The following is a 19538-nucleotide window of genomic DNA, read 5'->3' as shown; positions in this document are numbered from 1 at the left end:
GCTAACATTCACTTAGCTCTTTCCTCCTTTAATTCTCACAATAAGTATATCAAATTACTGCTGATGAGGAAACTGAGGCAAAAGAGGTTAAATAACTTGCCCATGATTACTCAGATAGTAACTGGTACTACAGGGATTTGAACCCTTCTACTTAATCAAAATAAGCAAGTTTTGTTTAAACCACATTTTATTAAGCAACAACCTTAATGCTACCCCATAAATAATAATGTAGGTTATTTGACCAGACAAAACACACAAAAGCAAACAGCTTTAGTATTTAGGAAGCCCCATTCTGACTTAACCCAAAACTTTCTTCCTAAAATAAAACTAATCACTATGAATTGTTTCCACCAAGGAACTGCTCTTAAAATTAGTTCATCCCTTGAATAGCTAGTATTTACCAGAGGGAAAAACTTCAAACAGTACACAGTGCCAAATAAGTCTCTTTCATCATAAACCCTTTAGTACCTTTTAAATTATAAGCCATGTAAATGAATTGTTTTAGAAAATTCAATATTAAAAGTAAAAAAGAAAGCTTCCCTCTCATTCCAACCCTAGGGGACCCACACTGACGCTGGTTCCTTATATATTCTGCCAAGGATATTCAAAGCATATAAGAAGCATGGCCGGCCGGGTGCAGTGGCTCATGCCTGTAATCCCAGCACTTCAGGAGGCCAAGGTGAGCGAATCACTTGAGGCCGGGAGTTAGAGATGAGCCTGGCCAACATGGCGAAACCCCGTCTCTACAAAAAAAATGCAAAAATAAGCTGGGTGTGGTGGTGCATGCCTGTAGTCCCAGCTACTCGGGAGGCAGAGGCACAATAATCGCTTGAACCCGGGAGGCGGAGGTTACAGTGAGCTGAGATCATGCCACTGCACTCCAATCTAGGTGACAGAGTGAGACTCTGTCTCCAAAAAAAAAAAAAAAAAAAAAAAGGAGCATGGCCAAGTGTGGCTTACACCTTAAACCCAGCACAGCACTCTGGGAGGGTACAATGGGAGGATCCCTTAAGGCCAGGAGTTTGAGACCAGCCTGGGCAACACAGCGAGACCCCATCTCTACAAAAAATTTAAAAATTAGCCGGGTGTGGTGGTGCATCCTATAGTCCCAGCTACTCAGGAGGCTCGCTTGATCCCAGGAGGCAGAGATTGCAGTGAGCTATGATGGTGCCATTGTATTCCAGCTTGGTCAACAGAGCAAGACTCTGTCTCAAAAAGAAAAAAAGGGTGCATGTGTATGCATATTCCTACCATGGAATTTGAAACAGCAACACTCCAAATTCCTCAAGTCATGGCTTCCCAGAGCCACAGTCCCAGTATGAAGCTGGGAATACAAATGTGAGCCACCACACCTGGCCTTTTTTTTATTTTTTTAATCATGGCCTACCCTGTGAACATTTTTTTAAAATCTTCCACCATGCTAGCTGTTTAAACAATCGAAGCAGGCCGGGCACAGTAGCTCACGCCTGTAATCCCAGCATTTTGGGAGGTCGAGGCAGGCAGATCACCTGGTCAGGAGTTCAAGACCAGCCTGGCCAACATAGCAAAACCTCATCTCCAACTGATCCTGGAAATCTTCACAGAGTAGTCCATGATTAAAAAAAAAAAAAAAACAAGGCCGGGCATGGTGGTTCACACCAGCACTTTGGGAGGCCGATGTGGGAGGATCGCTTGGGCCCAGGAGTTCGAGACCAGCCTGAGCAACATGGTAAAACCCTGTCTCTACTAAAAAATACAAAAATTTGCCACGCATGGTGGCACATGCCTGTAAGTCCCAACTACCCAGGAGGTTGAAGTGGGAGGATCAACTGAGCCCAGGAGGTTGAGGCTGTGGTGAGCTGTGATCACATCACTGCACTCCAGCCTGGGTAACAGAGTAAGACTGTCTCAGAAAAAAAAAAAAAAAAAAAGGCTTAGAAACCACCCACAGGCATCTATTGTAACGATGTAAGAAAAGGACCTAAGGCAATCCATGCCCAGGATCCTTAGAGGCCTGAATGGGGAGAGCAGGAAGAGAAGAAAGCAAAAGCAGAAAACTGCTTTAAAAAAACAAGTCAGGCAAAGACTACGGCGGCAGAGAGAGAAATGCTTTTCTTTTGGTAGAGACAAAGGTGCTCTCACTCCTGCTGCCAAGGCGCTGACCTTCCCCAACTGGAAGGCGTTCCCAGATCCTGACCTGCTGTCCAACAAAGAACAACCTCACAAGCAGCTCACAGATTTGAGCAACTGGCGAAAGCTCCAGGTCTAGGAGAACCCATCCTGCATCTGCCCAGTAACTGCGACTTCAGATAGGAGAACCCATCCTGCATCTGCCCGGTGACTGTGACTCCAGATAGGTCCTAAGCCAGTCTGTGTAGTTCTCTGCTGGGAAGAATAAGATTCGATCCCACCAATATCCTTTGAGATGCAGTGGCATGACAGAAAGTACACAAGCTTTGGCATTAAGAACTCAGTGATTTGGGGGCACGCTGCTCAACCTCTCTGAGCCTCAGTTTCCTCATCTATGGGAATAACGGGAATAATACCACCACCTCACATTTGGGATTAGAGGAGATGATAAGTTATTTCATGTCACTCCTCTGCTCAAAGTCAACCAATGCACTTCCACTTCGGGTCATGATGGAGTGATAGGGAACAGATTTGCCCTCCCACTGTAAACAACTAGAAAACTAAGCCAAATAAATAAAACCACTGTGTGTACACATTGGACAGCAGGCAGTGCAGGACTACGATCCCTGAAAGCAGAGAAACAAATTACTTGGGCCCTAAAATCACTCTGGCTTCCTGCCAGGAGACACATTTCAGGCCCTGGAGAGAGACGGGGATCCCCAGCAGAGCACGCCACCCACTTAAGTTGAAGAGACAGAGATCAGAGTTCAGGGAGGCCAAGGCAGCTGAAAGCTGCAGGACAGACTTCAGAAAGAAAGAGCTATGCAGAAAAAGTGGTCCAGAAATCTGTCTGGAGGTTCCCTCAGGTCTCTGCTGAATACTAAAATTTGTGCATGCATAGGGTGAAACTCCACAGTGAAGAAGAAGCTAGGAGCTGACATTTCTTAGAACTCTCAGGGGAATCATGAGTCCCAAGCAGCCAGACTGGAGTGTCCTCACAGGGCATTCAGGAGAGACCAGAGGTCAAATGATCCCTAGATTAAAGATTATCCAGATCCACTCTAACAAAGCTAAAAAACAGGACTCAAAATGATAACAGTAAACCATAAAAAACTGCACAGAAGAAAAAAGCTTTAAGCACTCTTTAAAGACCACAAAATCCATAACCTCAACAATACTGAACTCACAATATCCAGCATCCAATAAAAAATTTCAACACATGGCCAGGCACGGTAGCTCACGCCTGTAATCCCAGCACTTTGGGAGGCTGAGGCGGGCGGATCACCTGAGGTCACGAGTTCGAGACTAGCCTGACCAACATGGAGAAACCCCGTCTCTACTAAGAATACAAAAATTAGCCGGGTGTGGTGGTGCATGCCTGTAATCCCAGCTACTTGGGAGGCTGAGGTAGGAGAATCACTTGAACCCAGGAGGCGGGGGTTGCGGTGAGCCGAGATCGCGCCATTGCACTCCAGCCTAGGCAACAAGAGCAAAACTCAGTCTCAAAAACATAAAATTTAATTTAAAAATTTCAACATATGTCAAGAAGCAGGAAAATGTAACCAATAACAATAAGAAAAACCAGACGATATAACTAGTAGACAAGAACAGTAAGACAGGTGTTACAACTATACTCAAGTATTTAAATGAAAACATGTCACAGTAAGAAGAGAAATGTAAGGTATAAAAAGAAAATAGAGGCCGAGCACAGTGGCTCACGCCTGTAATCCCAGCACTTTGGGAGGCCGAGGCGGATGGATCACGAGGTCAGGAGATCGAGACCATCCTGGCTAACACGGTGAAACCCCTTCTCTACTAAAAATACAAAAAAAAAATTAGCCAGGCATGGTGGCGGGCACCTGTAGTCCCAGCTACTCAGGAGGCTGAGGCAGGAGAATGGGGTGAACCCAGGAGGCAGAGCTTGCAGTGAACCGAGGTCACGCCACTGCACTCCAGCCAGGGCGACAGAGTGACATTCCGTCTCAAAAAAAAAGAAAATAGAATTTCTAGACATGAAAAGTATAATATGTAAAATAAAAATTTCAGGCCAGGTGCGGTGGCTCACGCCTGTAATCCCAGCATTTTGGGAGGCCAAGGCGGGTGGATCGCCTGAGGTCAGGAGTTTGAGACCAGCCTGGCCAGTACAGTGAAACCGCATCTCCACTAAAAATACAAAAATTAGCCGAGCATGGTGGCAGGCACCTGTAATCCCAGCTACTCAGGAGGCTGAGGCAGGAGAATCGCTTTTATTCAGGAGGCGGAGGTTGTAGAGAGCAGTGATAGCTGAAATGATAAGGACAAATTCCTTGAGACACAACATACCAAAACTGACTCTGGAAAAAATAAAAAAGTTTAATATCCTCACATCTATTTTTAAAACTAAATATATAATTTAAAAATATGTAAATAAAAAAAGTAATAGGCCAGGCACAGTGGCTGATGCCTGAAATCCCAATACTTCAGGAGGCTGAGGCAGGTAGATAACTTGAGGTCAGGAGTTCGAGACAAGCCTGGCCAAGGTGGTGAAACCCCATCGCAATTAAAAATACAAAAATTAGCCAGGTGTGGTAACACATGCCTGTAATCCCAGCTACTCAGGAGGCTGAGGCAGAAGAATCCCTTGAACCCAGGAGGCAGAAGTTGCAGTAAGCCGAGATCGAGCCACTGCACTCCAGCCGAGGCAACAGAGTGAGACTCAACCTCAAAAACAAAAAAAGTAGGCCGGGCACAGTGGCTCATGCCTATAATCCCAGCACTTTGGGAGGCCGAGGTGGGCAGATCACAAGGTCAAGAGACGGAGACCATCCTGGCCAACATGGTGAAACCCCATCTCTACTAAAAATACAAAAATTAGCTTGGTGTGGTGGCGCACGCCTGTAGTCCCAGATACTTGGGAGGCTGAGGCAGGAGAATCGCTTGAACCTGGGAGGTAGAGGTTGCAGTGAGCTGAGATCACGCCACTGCACTCCAGCCTGGCGATAGGGCAAGACTCCGTCTCAAAAAAAAAAAAAAAAAAAAAAGAAAGAAAGAAAAAGTAATAAAGTATATAATTAAAACTTAAAAAGAAAACTCTACGTCCAGATGGCTTTACTGGTAAATACTATCAAACATTTAAGGAAGAAATAATGGCAATCTTATATAAACTGTTTCAAAGAATACAAAAAAAAAAAAACTGCCAAACTCACTCCATGAGGCCAGTACTATCTTGACATAAAAACCAAAGATTTTACACATCCACATACAAAAAAACTATAGAATAATATCCCTCACAAACATAAATGTTAAAATCCTTAACGAAATACTATTGAGTCCAGCTATATATAAAAAGCATAACACATCGAGTAGAATTTATCCAATGAATAAAAAATTGGTTTAACATTTCAAAAATCAATCAACATAAATCACCATATTAATAAAAGAAAGGAAGCAAACAAAAGGATCAACTCAATAGAGACAAAAAAGAGCACCTGACAACATTCAAAAATAATTTTTTTTTTTTAAGAGACAGAGCCTCAGGCTGGGTGCAATGGCTCACGCCTGTAATCCCAGCACTTTGGGAGGCCAAGGTGGGCAGATCACAGGGTCAGGAGTTCAAGACCAGCCTGGCCAAGATGGTGAAACCCCATCTCTACTAAAAACACAAAAAAATTAGCCAAGCATGGCGGTGGATGCTTGTAATCCCAGCTACTCAGGAGGCTGAGGCAGAGAATCGCTTGAACCCAGGAGGCGGAGGTTGCAGTGAGCCGAGATCGCGCCACTGCACTCCAGCCTGGGTGACAGAGCAAGAGTCTGTCTCAAAAAAAAAAAAAAAAGAGACAGAGTCTCCATCTTTCAGCCAGCCTGTAGTGCCTGTAGTGCAGTGGTGTGACATAGCTCATTGTAAGCTGGAAATCCAGGGCTCAAGTCATCCTCCTGCCTCAGCCTCCCGAGTAGCTAGAACTCCAGGTATGTGCCACCATGTCAGACTCATTTTTTAAAAATTTGTATAGAGACAGAGCCTCGCTATGTTGCCCAGGCTGGTCTCGAACTCCTGGCCTCAAGCAGTCCTCCTGCTTCAGCCTCCCAAAGTGCTGGGATTACAGGCGTGAGCCACTGTGCCTGGCCTCAAAACACATATGATTAAAAAAAAAAAAAAAAAAAACTCAGCAAACTAAAAATGAAGGTTGAATTTCTTCAACTTGACAAAGGCACCTATTACAAAATACCTATAGCTAACACTTAACTGTAGAAGACTAAAAATATTTCCCCCAAAATGGGGAACAAAGCAAGGACATCCACTTCCACTGTTACTTTTAACATTGCACTCAAAGTCCTAGACAGTGCAATAAAGCAAGAAAAATTAAAAGCATATTAATGGGAAGGTAAGAAGTAAAGCTGTCTTTATTTGCAGATGATACCATCATCTATAGAGAAATCACAAGGAATGTACAAAAAAGCTACTAGAGGCCGGGCACGGTGGCTCACACCTGTAATCCCAGCACTTTGGGAGGCTGGGGCAGGCAGATCACCTGAGGTCAGGAGTTCAAGACCAGCCTGGCCAACATGGTGAAACCCCGTCTCTACTAAAAATACAAAAAAATTAGCCAGGCGTGGTGGCGGGCGTCTGCAATCTCAGCTACTAGGGAGTCTGAGACAGGAGAATCGCTTGAACCCAGGAGGCGGGGGTTGCAGTGCGCCAAGATCACGCCACTGCACTCCAGCCTGGGTGACACAGCATGAGTCTGTCTCAAAAAAAAAAAAAAACTACTAGAATTATAAGTTAACAAGGTTGCAGATACAAGACCAATATATAAAATTCAATTTTATTTCTACATAGTAGCATTGAATAATTAAAAAATAAAATCCATAAATATAACAGTATCCTGAAAACAAAAAAATATTTAGGCTCGGCCCTGTGGTTCATGCCTGTACTTCCAGCACTTTGGGAGGCAGAGGTAGGAGGGCTACTCAAGTCCAGAAGTTCAAGACCAGCCTGCGCAACACAGCAAGACCCCCTCGCTACAAAAATTCAAAAAATAATTAGCTGGGCATGGTGGCATGCACCTGAGTCTTAGCTACTCAGGAGGCTGAGGCTGGAGGATCACTTGAGCCCAGGACTTGGAGATTACAGTGAGCTATGTATGATTGCACCACTGCACTCCAGCTTGGGCGACAAAGACAAAAAAGACCCTGTCTCTTAAAAAAAAAAAAAAAAAAAAAAAACCACACACAAATAAATAACACTACACACTCACCAGAATGGCTAAAAACATTTAGACAATTTAGACAGTTTCTTACAAAGCTAAACATACTTACTACATAAGCCTACCATTCCACTTACAGGTTATTTCCCCAGAAAAATGAAGAATATGTCCTCGCAAACACTTACACATACACAAATACTCACAGTAGCCCAGAATGAGAAGGAATCCTGTGGGGAACAGACTCTAAGGTGACCCCATGATCCCCACCTCCTGGTATCCATGCCCCTGTGCTGTTCCTTCTACTCAAATGTGGCCAGGATCTGTTACTTGCTTCTGGCCAACACAATATGGCAAAGGTGACAGCATGTACGTGACTGCATTAATGTGGGTGAGATACGTCGTGGTAATGTCCACTTTACTAAGAGACTCTCTCTTCTGCTGGCTTTGAGGAGGCAAGTGGGAAGACTCATTTGGCAAGAAACTGAGGGCGGCCGCTGGCTGACAGTAACACACTAAAGTCTCCAGTCTCATGGTCCATAAGGAACTGAATGCCACCAACAACCACACAAGCTAGGAAGCAGACCCCTCCCTAGTCAGCGACCACAGTCCTGACAGATTTCTCAATAGTAGCCTGGTGAGACTCAGCCCAGTGGTTTCCTGACTCCTGACCCACAGAAACCATGAGATAATCAATGTGTGCTGTGCCAAGCGGCTAAATTTGTGGTAATACTGTTACGCAGGAATCAAAAACTACTACAAATGTCCATCAACTGGTGAACAGATCAACAAATTGAGATATAGCCATCCATACGATGGAATACTACTCAGCGGTAAAAAGTAATTCATGGTCAGGCGCAGTGGCTCACGCCTGTAATCCCAACACATTGGGAGGCCAAGGCAGTTGGATCACATGAGGTCAGGAGTTGGAGACCAGCCTGACCAACACAGTGAAACCCCATCTCTACTAAACAAAAAAAAATTGGCTGGACGCAGTGACTCACACATGTAATCCCAGCACTTTGGGAGGCCGAGGTGGGCAAATCATTTGAGGTCAGGGGTTCAAGACCACTCTGGCCAACATGGTGAAACCTTGTCTCTACTAAAAATTCAAAAAAATTAGCCAATTAGCCGGCCATGGTGGTGGGCGCCTGTAATCCCAGCTACTGGAAGGCTGGGGCAGGGGAATCTCTTGAACCCAGGAGGCAGGGGTTGCAGTGAGCCAAGACTGAGCCACTTCACTTCAACCTGGGCAACAAGAGCGAAATACCATCTCAAAAAAAAAAAAAAAAAGGTAATTCATTACTGATAATTACTGATACATACCATAACACAAATAAATTTCACAAACATTATTCTGAGCCAAAAAAGACATAAAAGAATACATAATTCATTCATATGAAATTCTAGGAGGGACAAATATACTCTATAGTAATAGAAAACAGTTCAGATTTCCTAGGACCACAGGCAAGGATTCAATGGGAAGGGGCGTAAGGGAACGTTTAGGGATACTGAAACTGTTGATCTTGCTTGTGGCAGTGGTGGTTACACAGGTTTAGGGTGGTAGTGGTTACACACGTATATACAATTTGTCAAAACTCAAACTGATCACAACACACCTATTAGAATTCCACAGTAAAGTTTAGGCCATAAGACTTTGTCAGTCAATACAATATTAAACTAAAATACTAAAAAAAAACTTGGCCAGGCCAGGCGCAGTGGCTCACGCCTATAATCCCAGCACTTTGGGGGGCCGAGGCGGGTGGATCATGAGGTCAGGAGATTGAGACCATCCTGGCCAACATAGTGAAACCCCGTCTCTACTGAAATATAAAAAGTTAGCCAGGCATGGTGGTGCACACCTGCAGTCCCAGCTACTCCGGAGGCTGAGGGGGGAGAATCGCTTGAACCTGGGAAGTGGAGATTGCAGTAAGCCGAGATCATACCACTGCACTCCACCCTGGAGACAGAGCAAGACTCCATCTCAAGAAAGAAAAAAAGAAAAACTTGGCCATGTTCACACCTGTAATCCTAGCACTTTGGGAGGCCAAGGCAGGAGGATCACTTGAGCCCAGGAGGTCACGACTGCAGCGAGCCATGACTGTGCCACTGCACTCCAGCCAGGGTGACAGAGTGAGACCCTGTCTCAAAAATTTAAAACAATACTAGCAAAGTTGCAAAGAAAGCAACTAATTTAGCAAGTTAACTTTATGATGGAGAAATGTGATAGACACCACCTTAACCAAACAATCAAACTTCATCTTCGACAATGGGACTCGTTCCTCCAGATATGATACACAGATAGACACAACGTCACTTACATAATATTCTCACAAAAGAATGTTTAACCCGGATCTAAATGTAAGGGAACAAATCAGACAAATCCAGATGGTGGAACATTTCACAAAACAAGTAGTCCAGACTCTCCAAACATGTCAATACCATAAAAAATAAAAAACGTAGATGAACTCACCAGAAATGCACATATTATGTTCACAAAAAGACACGTACAGGTATTTTCACAGCAGTACTATTTGTAATGACCCTAAAGGTGAAACAATCTAATGTCCATTAAAAGTAGAATGGCTCAGGCCAGGCACGGTGGCTCATGCTTGTAATCCCAGCACTTTGGGAGGCCAAGGCAGGTGGATCATGAGGTCAAGACATCGAGACCATCCTGGCCAACATGAAGAAACCCCATCTCTACTAAAAATACAAAAATTAGCCGGGCATGGTGGCACATGCCTGTAGTCCCAGCTACTTGGGAGGCTGAGGCAGAAGAATCACCTGAACCCGGGAGACGGAGGTTGCAGTGAGCTGAGATTGCGCCACTGCACTCCAGCCGGTGACAGAGCGAGACTCCATTTCAAAAAAAAAAAAAAAAGTAAGATGGGCCACCCGCAGGGGCTCACGCCTATAATCCCACCACTTTGGGAGGCCAAGGTAGGTGGATCACTTGAGGTCAGGAGTTCGAGACCAGCCCGGCCAACATGGTGAATCCCCCGTCTCTACTAAAAACACAAAAATTAGCCAGGCATGGTGGCCAGTGCCTATAATCCCAGTTACTCAGGAGGCTGAGGCAGAAGAATCACTTGAACCTGGGAGGCAGAGGTTGCAGTGAGCCAAGATCATGCCACTGCACTCCAGCCTGGGTGATAGAGCAAGACTCAGTCTCAAAAAACAAAAAGTAGAATGGTGGCCAGATGTGGTCACTCACACTGGTAATCTCAGCACTTTGGGAGGCCCAGACGGGCAGACTGGTTGAGCTCAGGAGTTCAAGACCAGCCTGGGCAACATGGCAAAACCCCGTCTCTACAAAAAATACAAAAATAATTAGCCAGGTGTGGTGGCATGCGCCTGTGGTCCCAGCTACCAGGGGAGCTGAGGTAGGAGGATGGCTTGAGCCTGGGAAGCAGTTTGCAGTGAGCCGAAATCGTACCACTGCACTCCAGCCTGGGCAACAGAGCCAGGCATTGTCTCAAAAAAAAAAAAAAAAAAGAGTAGAATGGTTAATAATAAATGGCCAAACACATTCATACAATAACTGTATAAAGCAGTGATAATAAACTGTCACTGTTCTCATCATGAATGAATCTCAAAAATATGTGTTAAGTAAAAGAAGCCTGGGAGACTGAGGTGGGAGGCTCACTTGAGGTCAGGAGTTCAAGACCAGCCTGGGCGACACAGCGAGACCCGACCTCTACAAAAAATAATTAGCTGGGCATCATAGTGCATGACTATAGTCCCAGCTACTCGGGAGGCTGAGGCTGGAGGATCACTTGAACCCAGGAGGTCAAGGCTACAGTGAGCTGTGATAACACCTCTCCACTCCAGACTGGGTGACAGAGTAAGACCCTGTCTCAAAAAACAAACAAACAAACAAACAAAGTTTAAGGCTGGACGCGGTGGCTCCCAGCACTGTGGGAGGCCGAGGTGGGTGGATCACTTGAGGTCAGGGGTTCGAGACCATCCCGGCCAACATGGCAAAACCCTGTCTCTATTAAAAATACAAAAAAATTAGCCAGGCATGGTGGCGGGCACCTGTAATTCCAGCTACTTGGGAAGCTGAGACAGGAGAATTGCTTGAACCCAGGAAGCGGAGGTTGTAGTGAGCCAAGATTGCACCACTGCACTCCAGCCTGGGCAACAGAGCAAGACTCTGTCTCAAACAAAAAAAAAAAGGAAGGAAAGGAAAAAAAAAAAAGACTAAAGAGACAAATCAATGCAATCTCTGTTTCTTCACTAGATTCTGATTTTTTTTAAGTGTGAAAATTTGAGTGCAGATTCTGTTTTAAATAATACTATTTATCAACACTTAAATTTCTTGTGTGATAATGATATTGTGGTTATACAGGGGAATAACCTTACTCTTATGAGAGATAAGGTGAAATATTCTAGGATGAAATATCCTTGATGTCTGTAACTTACCACAAATCCTTCCAAAAAAAAAAATATATATATAGAGAGAGAGAGAGAGAGAAAGAGAGAGAGAGACTGACATAAAGCAAATTCAGCAAAATGTGAACAGTGCATCTTGGTTAAGTTTTTATGGGAATTTTACAGAAGTTCTCAGTATTATCCTTTCAACTTTTCTATACGTGAGAAATTTTTCAAAATAAAAAGTTGAGGCCAGGTGCCAGGCTCACACCTGTAATCCCAACACTGTGGGAGGCCGAGGCAGGTGGATCACCTGAGGTCAAGCATTCAAGACTAGCCTGGCCAACATGGCAAAACCCCATCTCTACTAAAAATACAAAAAAATTAGCTGGGCATGGTGGCGGGCACCTGTAGTCCCAGCTACTCAGGAGGCTGAGACAGGAGAATCGCTTGAACCCAGGAGGCAGAGGTTGCAGTGAGCCGAGATTGTGCCACTGTACTCCAGATCGGGAGACAGAGCAAGACTCCGTCTCAAAAAAAAAAAAAAAAAAAAAAAAGTTAGCCAGGCGTAGTGGCACACACCTGTAGTCTCAGCTACTCAGGAGGCTGAGGCAGGTGAAGCAGGAGAACCGCTTGAACCTGGGAGGCTGAGGTTGCAGTGAGCCGAGATTGAGCCACTGTACTCCAGCCTGGGCAACAGAGGGAGACTCCATCTCAAAAACAAAACAAAACAAAAAAAAAAAACATTGAGAGGGCAAATACCTTGTCTGACCTGCTGTTATTCAAGAGTTCAACAGACTCTCAAAACTACATGTAAAGACTGGGAGAAGAAAACTAACTCTGAGCACTTACTATGCAGCAGGTGCTCTTCACATCTGTGATTTCAGTCAACACTAAAAGGGTAATTATTTTTTATTTTATTTATTTATTTTTTAAGTGATAGGGTTGCACTCTGTTGCCCAGGCTGGAGTACAGGGGTTTATTCACATATGTGATCATCGTGCACTACAGACTCCAACTCCTGGGCTCAAGCAATCCTCCAGCCTCAGTCTCCTGAGTAGCTGGAACTACAGACATGCACCACCACACCCAGCTTTAAGGGTAACTATTATTGCTCTCGTTTTACAGAGGAGAAAACATACTCAGAAAGGTGGAGTGATAAGTCCAATAGTTGTGAGTGATGAAGTTCCACCAAAACCTGCCAGGATGCGAAGCCATGCTCTTCCACTCTTTCACTCTGCTCTTCTCCCTGCCTGCTTCTGTAGCCTCTCAATGCAAAATTTACTGTACCCAGTGAACCTCCACAGATAGGAAATCTACCTTCTGCAATAATACTCGATACTCAGTAACTGTGAAGTAATCAGATTGAACCATGCCTCTGCTGTTCAGCGAAGGAAGAAAAGCTAGTAGGAAAGTTGGGAAATAGAGATAACGTTTCTCATTCCTACGGGCTCCAACGTGTACACACTAGAAAGGACTTCAATGAGAGATCAGCCATGCTGGCTGGGCGTGGTGGCTCATGCTTATAATCTCAGCACTTTCTCTCTCTCTGTCTCTTCCCCCGTCCCCAAACAGGGTATTGCTCTCTCACCCAGGCTGGAGGGCAATGGCACAATCACCGCTCACTGCAGCCTCAACCTCCCAGGCCCAAGTGATGCTCTCACCTCAGCCTCCAAAGTAGCTGGAACCACAGGCAAGCACTACCATGCCTGGCTAATTTTTTAATTTTCAGTAGGAACGAGGTCTCCCTATATTGCAAAGGCTGGTCTCAAACTCCTGGCCTCAAGCGATCCTCCCAACTCAGCCTCCCAAAGTGCTAAGATTACAGGTATGAGCCATCACGCCCAGCCAGGAACTCACCACTACAAAAATTGTTTTAAAAATACATTAGCCAGGCCAGGCACAGTGGCTCACACCTGTAATCCCAGCACTTTGGGAGGCCGAGGTGGGCGGATCACGAGGTCAGGAGATCGAGACCATCCTGGCTAATACGGTGAAACATCGTCTCTACTAAAAATGAAATAAAAAAAAAATAGCCGGGCGTGGTGGCAGGTGCCTGTAGTCCCAGCTACTCTGGAGGCTGAGGCAGGAGAATGGTTCGAACCCGAGAGGCGGAGCTTGCAGTGAGTTGAGATCGCACCACTGCACTCCAGCCTGGGCGACAGAGCGAGACTCTGTCTCAAAAAAAAAAAAAATACATTAGCCAGGCATGGTGGTGCACACCTGTAGTCCCGGTTACTCAGGAGGCTGAGACGAAAGGATTGCCTGAGCCTGGGCGGGCAAGGATGCAGTGAGCCATGATCACACCACCGCACTCTGGTGACAGAGTGAGACCCTGTCTCAATCAATAGATCAACCACATAAAACAGAGCAATGTGGGGAACACAGAACAAAGGAAGCAATAAATGAAATTCCAGCAAGTCGTCTTGAGGATAGACTAAAAAGACTATACCATTATGAAAAAGTAAGTATGTTCCTGAAATGCAAAAGTCATGAAGGACAGCTAGAATAAACACTAGCATTCAGGGCATTCCTTGAAATTTTAAGGAATTACTTCTGAATAAAAGAACTTTACTAGACAAGTAGTCAACACATGAAAAATCATACCCCAAAAGATGTCGTAATAGAACTTGAAGAAAGGTTTAGATCCATTTGTGAGTGAAAACTCAGAGCTTATTAAATTGAATAATAATAATAATAGACAACACATTGTTTCAGGCACTGTTCTGGCATTTTTACATAAATAACTCATTTAAGGCCAGGTGCAGTGGCTCACGCCTGTAATACCAAGCTCTTTGGGAGGCCGAGGTGGGCAGGTTACCTGAGGTCAGGAGTTTGAGACCAGCTTGTCCAATATGGTGAAACCCCATTTCTACTTAAAAAAAAAAATTAGCCAGGCCTGGTGGTGCATACCTGTAGCCCCAGCTACTTGGGAGGCTGAGGCAGGAGAATCACTTGAACCTGGGAGGCGGAGGTTGCAGTAAGCCGAGATCGCGCCACTGCACTCCAGCCTGGTCAACAGAGTGAGACTCGGTCTCAAAAATAAATAAATAAATAAATAACTCATTTAGTCCTCAGAGCAACTCTGTGAGATAGGTCCTAGTATTTTCCCTGTTTTGCACATGGAGAAATTAAGTCTAGAAAAATTAAGTAGATCTGTCCGAGATGACATTGCTGGTAAGTTAGTGGAGTTAGGATTCCAAGCCAGTGGGTCTGGCTTTAGAGCCTATACTTGTAACCGCTATTCTACACTGCCTCTCAAGGGAAGAGAAGGTTATTCACCTTTAATAGCTGGAAACCAGAGATTGATATGACAAGGCTAACCAACAAACTTTCTGTGAAAGACAGAATACTGGCTCAGCCCCACAGTTCTAACCCTACACAACAAGGCGTGGGGGAATTAGCTAAACAATCCTTTCAATCCTACTCTGCTTTAATCGGAGAAATGGGAAACTGGATTGATCAAGACTTGAAAATGAAACAGGCAATTGCTGAAGAGCATTGGTTCATTCAAAAAGCGTGCATTTGCTTCTTGTTAGATAGCCATAGAGTCTGTTATGAAAAGTTCAAGTTTTGGCCAGGCACTGCAGCTCACGCCTGTAATCCCAGCACTTTGGGAGGCTGAGGTGGGCGGATCATGAGGTCAGGAGATCAAGACCATCCTGGCTAACACGGTGAAACCCCATCTCTACTAAAAACACAAAAAATTAGCTGGGCATGGTGGCGGGCGCCTGTAGTCCCAGCTACTAGGGAGGCTGAGGCAGGAGAATGGCGTGAACCCAGGAGGCGGAGGTTGCAGTGAGCAGAGATCGCGCCACTGCACTCCAGCCTGGGTGACACAGCGAGACTCTGTCTCAAAAAAAAAAAAAGAAAAGTTCAAGTTTTTCCCCCAGGCTGCCAGCATGTTCTGTGGCAATCCTACCTCCACCAGCTTTGGAAAGGAGGGCAAAGGAGAAGCAGAGCTGAAAATCAAACAAGTGATGGCCATGCCCCCTTAAAGGACCTTAGATCCTTTTCTATTAAATACATATACAGAGAGGGCAAACTTGCAAAACCAAAAGAATCCTTGGGCATAACAGTGGCTCCAAGTGGCAAGATTTTTAGTACTGTTTACAGCACTGGCAAATTAAATGTCCTATAAGAATCAGGAACAGAGCCGGGCACGGTGGCTCACGCATATAATCTCAGCACTTTGGGAGGCTGAGGCGGGCAGATCACTTGAAGTCAGGAGTTTAAGACCAGCCTGGCCAACATGGTGAAACCTATCGCTACTAAAATTACAAAAATTAGTCAGGTGTGGTGGCAGGCACCCGTAGTCCCAGCTACTTGGGAGGCTGAGGCAGGAGAATTGCTCGAACCCGGGAGGCAGTGAGCCGAGATTGCGCCAATGCACTCCAGCATGGGCGACAGAGAGAGACTCCGTCTTAAGAAAGAAAAAAGAATCAGGAACTGAGGACACCCTTCAATCCCAGCCTGTGGGCATTCCTAACACAAAACAATTCAGAGAAACCCAGACCCCAAGATGCCTTAGTATTTCAGCAAACTAAATGTGGTAAGGCAAGAAAGGAGAGGCCCTCCTCTCGAGACACTTGCCAAACTCCAGAACACCTGACAGTGAGAAGGCCAGAATCAGTCCTTGTTATCTCCCATGTTTTACAATCAAGACATCTTCTTCCTGAATCATTCACACTGCTAATAGAAACTGGTATGGGGGAACACACCAACTCCTTTAAGTTCAATTCTTGTAACAGACGTGCAGAATAAGACAGTAAGAAACACTAAGCGGTGGTCTTCTGCCTCTGAAGGAAGTGAAATACTAGTAAGTTGCTGAAAACTCTTAGAGGTGCTTCAAGGAGATGGGAGAGGAGGAATGAGGCCCCAAGTTGAAACTATTTTCTTCTTCCTCATTCTAATCCTAACTAAACTCAAAAATGTATGGATGACTAGTGGAGTCACACAGGTTCAATACAGGCTCAACAGAGCACACGATTTGGGGCATGTCACAAACCCTTAGTATTCATTTCTGTGAAATGGAGGTTAGTAGCCTGCACTTCATAAAGGTTGTAGTGAACACTAAACGAGATAATAGATGTAATTTGTGCTCAACATGACACCACACAGGCAGTTAAATGTAAGATGTCTCTTAGCCCTTTTCTCCTCACCCCACCCTACCCCACCTTTGGACTATAAACCCCTTCGGAGACCTTATCATCCACTGCCTCCCGGCCGCAGAGGCACAGGCGTCAACGCTGGTCCTTATGGTCCCCTTATTGGAGTGGGATTTGTCTGAATCTGCAGGTGAAAAGCTAGAGCGGAGCCCTCGGCCAACAAAACCAAACCCAGGGAAGCGAGGATGGGTCCTCAGCCAAAAGCTTGGTGGCGTCTGTTAGTCACAGTGCGTCCCTTTCCTATCAACGCACTGAGAGGGCTCGACTAGATTATTTCTGACTATCCAACTTGACGAGAGAAGCGCAAAGGTGACCACAGATGAAGAGGCTGGCAGCCGCTCCAGGAGGCTGAGGCCGTGAGGGAGTGGGAACCCTAATGGAAACAGGCCCCTCCCCGGAGGGGACAGCCGGGAACGATCGATCTATCCTCTCCTTCTCAAGCCCTCGCAGCTCAAGGCTGGGGACTTCCCAAGGGTCCCGTCACCCTCCCCAACAAGCTCAAGTGGGACCAGAGGTGCTGGCAGGCGGGAAGTGGGGACCCGGGGGCACAGCCAAACACCAGAGCCCGGGCTCCGGAATGTGGTCAAAGAGGGGTCACCGGGGGGAGGGGCCGGGTGGGGAGGACCTGGGGAGGGGCGGGGCTCAGGAGGGGGCAAGAGGTCGGGGTCCCCAGCTTCGGAGACTCGGGGTCCCTACCCGGCTCCCAGCCGTATGCTGAGCGCCCCCTCCAGCCGGGGTCTCCGCCGCACAGCGGGGCAGTCCCACTCCCCTTACCTGGCTCGGCTGCTCTGCCTGCTCCGAGGACGCCATCTTTCTGAGGCCTGACTAATCAACCGCCGCTGGGCGAGGTTTCTCCCAGGCGCCCTCGCTCTCGCCCTCCCGCCCAGACTAAGGTAGCCGGAACAGAGCCTGTCGATGTAGGGGACTGGGGCAGAGGGGTGGAGCCCGGGTGTCCGGGTCACCTTGCATAGTTTCCGTTAAGACTCTGCTTTCCAGGAAGATCCCAAGTCTATATCTTCTTTGCGTTGTTATATGTGTATTATTCTGGTTTTGCTTTTTTTTTTTGAGACGGAGTTTCGCACTTGTTGCCTAGGCTGGAGTGCAATGGCGCGATATCGGCTCACCGCAACCTCAGCCTCCCGGTTTCAAGTGATTCTCCTGCCTCAGCCTCCCGAGTAGCTGGGATTGCAGGCATGCGCCACCATGCCCGGCTAACATTGTATTTTTAGTAGAGATGGAGTTTCTCCATGTTGGTCAGGCTGCTCTCGAACTCCCGACCTCAGGTGATCTGCCCGCCTCGGCCTCCCAAAGTGTTGGGATTACAGAAGTGAGCCACAGCGCCCGGCCCATATTATTCTTATTGAGTTAATCTCTGCCCATCCCCACAGTGCCATGGGCACATTTAGGGACTTGCCAATGGATGAATGCGAAGAAACTTGGAAATTAATTTTTAGACATCAGTTCAGTTCCATTCATTGAGTGCCTACTATATGCTAGGGACTTTGGTAGGCCTTGAAATAAAAACATTCAAGACTCAATCCCTACTCCCACGCCCAGGCCAAACACACTTACAATTACAGTATTATGGGGATAGGACTCGGATAAGTGTGCAGGTCTATTGGGAGAACATAAAAGGGGGCATTTTGAAGAGAAGAGGCTTCTACAAAACGTCATTATTTTACACTGGTTGAATTGTTAGATTTTTTTAATTGTTAGATTTTAAATTAAATATTGGACGGGAGCAGTGGCTCACACCTGTAATCCCAACACTTTAGGAGGCCAAGGCAGGAGGATCCCTTGAGCCCAGGAGGTTGAGGCTGCAGTGAACTATGATTATGCCACTGCACTCCAGCCTGGGCGACAGAGCGAGACCTTGTCTAAAAATAAGATAAGAAAATAAAAAATGAAATTATATGAAAAAGGATACATACATTAGAGTTAACCGCCAGCTCCTATTATAGTTGTGTTTTGATCAATATAGACTGCTTAAAAGGGATGACTTAATGAATAATTCCTCCTACTAAACGCTGTTTTAAATGTCTAAACTTTTCTTGAGATAATATCCAATTTCCTCTCCCACGTTTTTTTTGTTTGTTTTTGCTTTTGTTTTTGTTTTTGCTTGAGACGAAGTCTTGCTCCTGACGCCCAGGCTGGAGTGCAATGGTGCGATCTGGGCCGACTGCAACCTCCGCCTCCCGGGTTCAAGCGATTCACCTGCCTCAGCCTCCCAAGAGCTGGGACTACAGGCGTGCGCCATCACGCCCGGCTAATTTTTGTATTTTTAGTAGAGATAGGGTTTCACCATGCTGGCCAGGCTGGTCTCAAACTACTGACCTCAGATCATCTGTCCGCCTCGGCCTCCTAAAGTGCTGAGATTACAGGGGTGAGCCACCGCCCCCGGGGCCCTTGCCCACGTTTTTATAAACAAAATATGAGGTGGGAGGATTGCTTGAGCCCAGGAGATCAAAACTGCAGTGAGCCATCATCGCGCCACTGCACTCCAGCCTGGGAGACAGAGCGAAACGCTGTCTCAAAAAAAGAAAAAAGAAACAAGGAAGGAAAGTGTCCCCCGAATGAATAAATATGAGCAGATAATTACTTCTAGTTTACATAAAATGCCCTCTTTTAAGAGAGGAACTTTTTGATCATTTTTATTACTATTCTTTTAATCTTAGATGTTTATTTTTCAGGAGGAAAAAAACAA

At 45.9% G+C, this 19538-nt stretch overlaps 1 protein-coding gene across 8 annotated transcripts in view, besides 4 other annotated features; it reads right to left on the bottom strand.

Moving 5' to 3' along the window:
* PEX14 (peroxisomal biogenesis factor 14) overlaps positions 1-17661 on the bottom strand; it is a 155809-nt gene extending 138148 nt beyond the window's left edge. For 4 of the 8 annotated variants that reach the window (XM_047422545.1, XM_047422543.1, NM_004565.3 and 1 more), the window contains exon 1: positions 17609-17661. Coding sequence is in view for 6 of the 8 variants with exons in the window: in NM_004565.3 (NP_004556.1) it covers positions 17609-17644 (36 nt within the window). In the remaining 2 variants the exon portion in view is untranslated. Of the gene's footprint in view, positions 1-7495; positions 8119-17530 lie in introns of those variants that run through there. The other 4 variants (XM_047422544.1, XM_047422546.1, XM_011541579.4 and 1 more) reach the window with 3 other exon arrangements.
* Positions 17405-17574: a silencer, noted in NCBI's record as "silent region_247". NCBI's record gives its function as "represses an Ori minimal core promoter by ATAC-STARR-seq in GM12878 lymphoblastoid cells {active_cell/tissue: GM12878}" and the evidence as "EXISTENCE:reporter gene assay evidence [ECO:0000049][PMID:35858748]".
* Positions 17575-17764: an enhancer, noted in NCBI's record as "active region_150". NCBI's record gives its function as "activates an Ori minimal core promoter by ATAC-STARR-seq in GM12878 lymphoblastoid cells {active_cell/tissue: GM12878}" and the evidence as "EXISTENCE:reporter gene assay evidence [ECO:0000049][PMID:35858748]".
* Positions 17575-18552: a biological region, named in NCBI's record as "H3K27ac-H3K4me1 hESC enhancer GRCh37_chr1:10534116-10535081".
* Positions 17587-18552: an enhancer, noted in NCBI's record as "H3K27ac-H3K4me1 hESC enhancer chr1:10534116-10535081 (GRCh37/hg19 assembly coordinates)". NCBI's record gives its function as "activates a minimal SCP1, AML or CMV promoter by ChIP-STARR-seq in naive H9 embryonic stem cells {active_cell/tissue: H9 hESC(naive)}" and the evidence as "EXISTENCE:reporter gene assay evidence [ECO:0000049][PMID:30033119]".

Source organism: Homo sapiens, chromosome 1 (genome assembly GCF_000001405.40).
Source record: "Homo sapiens chromosome 1, GRCh38.p14 Primary Assembly".
In the NCBI taxonomy this organism is placed as follows: Eukaryota; Metazoa; Chordata; class Mammalia; order Primates; family Hominidae; genus Homo; species Homo sapiens.
The sequence above is the reverse complement of the archived record's forward strand: the minus strand, read 5'-3'. Positions and strand labels throughout refer to the sequence as shown.